Source organism: Homo sapiens, chromosome 3 (assembly GCF_000001405.40).
Source record: "Homo sapiens chromosome 3, GRCh38.p14 Primary Assembly".
NCBI lineage: Eukaryota > Metazoa > Chordata > Mammalia > Primates > Hominidae > Homo > Homo sapiens.
This window is the reverse complement of record NC_000003.12, coordinates 127137364-127143052: the sequence shown is the minus strand read 5'-3', so window position 1 is coordinate 127143052 and position 5689 is coordinate 127137364. Positions and strand designations below refer to the sequence as shown.

At 57.1% G+C, this 5689-nt stretch overlaps 1 annotated feature.

The window, feature by feature from the left end:
* Positions 3801-4301: an enhancer, noted in NCBI's record as "H3K4me1 hESC enhancer chr3:126857595-126858095 (GRCh37/hg19 assembly coordinates)". NCBI's record gives its function as "activates a minimal SCP1, AML or CMV promoter by ChIP-STARR-seq in primed H9 embryonic stem cells {active_cell/tissue: H9 hESC(primed)}" and the evidence as "EXISTENCE:reporter gene assay evidence [ECO:0000049][PMID:30033119]".

Genomic DNA, 5689 nt, shown 5'->3' with positions numbered 1-5689 from the left:
AACATTTGTTTAGGAAGCAAATGATCTTCCCAGGATGGAGTGCTGACTAAGGAGTGGCTAAGTGGCTATGTGAGAGCCCTGGAACCAGCTGCCTGGGTTTGCAGCCTGGCTCTGGGTTTCAAAATAGTGTGTATTGAGCAGGTAACTAAATCCCAGTTCCCTGATTTCCTTATCTGTAGGACAGGGAGGATTGCAGTCCCTTCATCAGAGAGTTGTTTATAAGGATTAAATAAGGGAATACTGAAAACAGTGTCTGGCAGGCACAAGTCAATGCTAAGTATTGTTATTTAATAAGTAGCTGTGAATGGTGAAGTCCAAGGCCTTGTCCAAGGTTACTTGGTTCTTCATAGTCCTGATTCATCCTTACCTGATGTCCTGAATTTTGGGTCCCACTTTCAAATCCCAGCTTCTCAGTCCTAGGTCAGGCCCCACATCATAGCCCCTATCCCCCTGGAGCCAGGCCCTGGCTTCCTCCTCCCTCCCCGGCCTGGGGCCCTCCACCTGTCAGCTCCTCTCTGACATCCTTTCCTCTCAGCCGGTTCTCACCTCCTCCCAGGAAATGCCACTGCAACAACATTGATAAATATTTATAAAGGCAGCCGAAGAGATGGCGCACAAACAAGCCAAATAAATAAGCACATTTTAAAACACTGAGCTTGACAGTTGACTTCCCCAAGTGAGTCTGTGTGTGCGTGCGTCACGTACCTGCACACACTCCCTGTCCTCACACATCAGCTCACAGGATGCCAGAGCCTTCTAGGCCGTCACATTGGGACCGCATGTTTCACAGATGGAGAAACCAAGACCCAGAGAGGCCTGGGCTTGGCTAAAATTGCCCAGCTGAGTGCGGGCAGGCGGCAACCCGTGCCCAGCATCCCGGCTTTATAGAGCCAAGGTTCCTGCTTGGCCTGGTGTCTATAAACAGAGAACAGCTGTTAGCAAATGCATTAAAGGATTTCATGTTTACTCTGCTCTTATCTGTGGCAATAACTGTCAGTATCGGGGAGATAGCCGAGGTCTGTTTCGCAGGATGGCCATCAGCCAGGAGGCGGGGCTGGCAGCGACTGCCCTGACTCACCTGCAGTCTCCCGGCAGGGGCTTTTCCAAGAAGGGCACCTTCCAGCAGGACCTAAGGCCAGGAATATCCTTCTCATGAGAACTACAAACAGGCTGCCCTGTGTTAGGGGAGGAGGCCTGGGGCCTTGAGGGCTTTCTGCCTGGGTCTCAGTTTCCCCATTAGCCCAACAATGTGCCCAGACTCCCTGGTATCTAAGGCCCTTCACAAGCTAACATCCTCCATACGGATTCCCTAATTATCATCCTGCCCACAGGAAGAGGAAGCCCACACCCAATTCAGGTCTCATCTGCATAAAACTCCCCATCACCAGGCTATCAAATTCCCCCAAAGACCATCCCTGGTGGTTCATGGAGAGGCCAGGCAGGAGAAAGACGAGGTCACAGGACAGCTGATATTGACTGGTGTCATGTATCAGGGTTTCACAGGGCTCCCCTTTATCTGTGAGCCCTATGCCATGAGCCCCCAGTTTTACAGGTGAGAGCATCAGGGAGTGAAGGGGTTTCTCAGTAGCCAAGGGCCCCTGCTAGCTGTGCTAGAGCCTGGTTTCTCATGACAGCGGGATGCCACCACCCCACACACAGGGACACCTCTGAGCACCAGGCTGGTGTGGCTCTGACCTGATGCTGTCTGGCACCCGACAGGATGGGCCCTGAGCCTCCAGGAGTGTGGGCCACTGGTTCTGGATGCACAGAGTCAGGTTCCAGGTGAGGGTTTCAGGTCAGGCCTGGTGCCCCAAACAGCAGGCTTCCCAAGGCAGGAGCAGCCACCCTGGCCACAAAGAGTTATGAGGCAAAGCCCGAGACGGGCCATGAGGGCCTGGGGCCCATGTTCTGGGCTGAGAGCGCAAGGGGAAGGTGCGGGGTGGGAGAGGTGGGGAGGCCAGGACTGCAGCCCCCACCCCAGCTCCCTGTCCTCTCAGAGGCTGAGGTGACTCTGCCACAGCTGTCCCATCATCTCTCCCCAAACTCAGCTCCAGCAGCTGCCCACTTGGCCCTGAGTCGCCCCCGCCAGTGCCTCTCACTCCCCTGTCCACACTGGCTCTGCCACCCTTCCTGACTAGAGGGGGTCTGTTAGAGTCTCCTTGGCACCCGTGGTGCCCACCTGCCACCCACCCCAACCCCACTGAGTTCTCCGCAGTGCCCAGCCTGATGACACCGGGCCCCGGCCCCATTACCACTCATCCCAGCACCCGCCCTCCCCTTGGGGGTTGCTCCTCCTGTTGTTCTGGTGTGGAAACTGAGTACTCACACTCACCGGCGGCTGTTCCAGGACTGGTCCACTGGTATCCTGCTGAGGCCTTTCCCCGAGCAAGGGCCACCTCCTGCCCATCCAGGCAGGCCCGGGATGCTCCAGACAGCTAACGAGCAGCTGGGCCCTGTGTGAGTACCAAAGGCCCAGGCACCACCCATCCCTGCTGTCTCACTCCCCCTCCCCACCTCACTGCCCCACCCCACCCCAACACTGTCCAACCCCAGCCTCAGCACCAGCCACCATCTTCTCTCACGGGGCCCCTGCAGCCACCCCCTTGGCCTCCACATGGCATCATTTCCCTCCTCCAACACAGCTGGAGGAGGAAAGGCAACCGCAATGAGTGCACACCGCTGGCTCCCCACGCCAGAGCCCACTTTTCTCCCCAGCCCCACTCTGTGCACCTGCTGCCCTCCTTCCCACTCACCTCTCCCTCACCCTCTCGCTCACTCTCCCTGCCCTTCCACAAGCCCAACTGCCCTTGCCAGTGCCTCAAGCCAAGCAGGGCTCACAGATGCCAGCAAGGCCTCCCCAGGGCAGAGCTCCCTCCTGCACCCTCCTCTAGCCGGGAGGGCAGCACCACTGTGCAGACAAGGAAACCAGCCTCCAGGGGCTTTGCCAGACCACACAGCTCCCTCAGCATAGCCCAGGCAGAGGTCTGGGTGGGCACAGTGCAGCTGCGGACGAGACCTAGGGGCATTGGCACAATTGCCCACCACAGTCCTGGCCAGCGCCTGTGGTCGCGTGGGATTATCACTCACAAAATGGCCACGTTATAGGACATGATCACCCAGCAAGATCCAGGGTTCTGTAGGCCCCTTATTAAGAAAGAGGATCAAGAGGGGTGTCCATGGGGTTCACAGAGGGACCCTTGCCACGGTCTGATGGTGTCTGCTGAAGCTGTGATGTGCCCAGGATATGGGAACCAGGCTCCAGGCCTGGGGTCAGGCAGATGGCCAGGAGCCTGGTCTGCGGGGCCCAGGATGGGGCAGGACCCAGATGACCCACGGGGCAATCAGGAGGCCATCGCCCCAGGGTCTTGTCCTTCCTCAGAGGATCTGGCCCAGAGAGGAGCCAACAAGATGGAAAGGGACCACCACCAAAAACAACAGTTCCAGTCCTCGCATAGAAATGGAAGCTCTGGAGCAGGGATAGAGCCACAGTACTGCACGCTCATGCACACACACACACATTCAGACATAACACAGACACACAAAATGCAAACATCACTCACAGAAATAAACATGCACACAGGAGCAAGTGTGCATGCCATAAAAGCGTGCATGCAGATTCAGACACAAGCGCACTGACTCACAAGGCACAAATGTACTCATACACTCACAAAACACGGAAACAAGTGTGTATCCAGGCATATGCCTATATATACACAAAAACACAGCACATACACACGTGTGCAATCCAGGCACATGGCCCTCTATCCACACACACACACACACCCCCATCTCTGTCTCTCTTTCTGTGTCTGTCTCTCCCTCTTTCTCTCTGTCTCTTCCTCTCTGTCTTGATCTCTGTCCCTTTCTGTGTCTGTCTCTCTCTGTTTCTCTCTCTCTCTCTCTCTCTCTCACACACACACACACACACACACACACACACCATTCTCACAAGTGAGCCTCGCTGCCTTTGGTCTGAGCCCAGAATAGAGCGTCTCTCACTTCTGGCCCCTCCCTTCCCAGCCCTCTTTCCCTAATTAGCCCAGGAAACAGGGGCTGCTGTACCAGCCAATTCAGCCTGGGCCCGGGGCGCGCCTGGAGCACGCCCGGAGCTAAGAAGCACCTGTCACTTCGAGGATCCCTCTTAGCTCAGCTGACGTCTACCGCCCCTGGCAGAGCCCAGCAATGTTGGTGGGGCCAAAGCAGCCTCGGAAGAGAATCACACGGGCTGCCTGCTGGGGAGCCTCCCAGTCCCTTTTTGGCCAGGAGCCACTGCTGGGCTGCTCCACCCAGCCAGTGAGTCGTCATGGGCACCTACTGTGGCAGGCACTGCCAAGCTCTGGGGACGCATGGGTAAGCAGAAACAGCCAGCCCAGCCTGAACAGAGCTGTGTCTCAGGGAAGACAGGCGGGCCCATCAGGTCATCAGCTACAGATCATAGCTCCACTGAGGTGGCCCAGCCATGGGCACAGGCCTGTAAGGCCCCCAGGTGGGCATCTCACCTGTTCTGGGAGGCAAGGGGAGCTTTCCCTGGGGACCAAGGCATCCCAATCTGAGGCATTATCTGGGTGAGGCCGGTGAGAGGCTCCACCAAGGGATTAGAGTGTGCAGAGGCTTTGACCTGGTCTGCGCTCCGCAAGAACAACATGTGGCCACGTCCCCCCAGGCCTCCTGAGAGGCCCAGGCGGGGCACCCTCCAAGACCCACACCCTCAGGCTCAAGGCTCTGATCCTCTGCCACCCAGGGTGCTGCACACGCACTCAGTGCACTGGGACGCAGACTTTGAGCTGGGAGATCAGTTACAGAGATGTGGAAACTGAGGCCCAGGAACTGGTGGCAGTAAGGGAAGGAAGTGCCCCAGACAATGTGGCTAGTTTGCCAGAGTGCCTCAGAGAGCAGCTGGTCCAATCCTCCTCAAGCACAGATGAGGCAACTGAGGCCACATCCACTCTGACCTACTCTGGAGGAGAGGCAGCCACAGGGGCAGGAGTTAGACCTGCTGAAGTGGCCCCAAGGAACTGAAAGGGTCGCAGCAGAGCATATGTCTGTGTGCATGCATGTGTGTCTGTGTACGTGCATGTGCATCTGTGGGTGTGTGAGTGGGAGGGTGTTACATGTGTGCTTGTGAGTACATGTGCACATGTGTGTCTGTGTGCCTGTGTGTGCATGTGCTGGGAGCTGGCATGGAGGAGTTGGGACACTAGCAGGCTGGCATTTGACACCCACCGTGTCTGTTCTGCTTGGTCAAAGCTCACATCACGCAGTTGTCAATATTTAGAAAGGCAAAATTAGTGACTCTGGTCATGAGTCAGTCAGAGCCCGAGATGAGGGTTTGAGGAGGCTGCATCCACGGCACCTGAAAGCCAGGCCAGCTGGGCAGGAGTGGTGGGCCCATAGCAGGCCCAGGGGCACAGTGCCTGAGGGGGAATGCCATATGTGAGGCCAGTGCTAGATGGACCAGCCCATCAGTGTGGACAGTGGGGGTGGGGGGGTTTCTGAGCACCAGGAGGGGTTATGAGAGATGTGGTGGAGACATCCCAATGGCATGTTTTTCAGATGCCCTCCCAAGTGCCCAATGCTAGTCAACTGAGCCCGTCCTGCAGAAGCAGAGGAGCCCCGAGGTCTCCTGGCACAGGCTGGCTATCAGCTAGGCATTGTGAGCAGGCATGAGGTGTGGTGAGAGAGGCCAGAT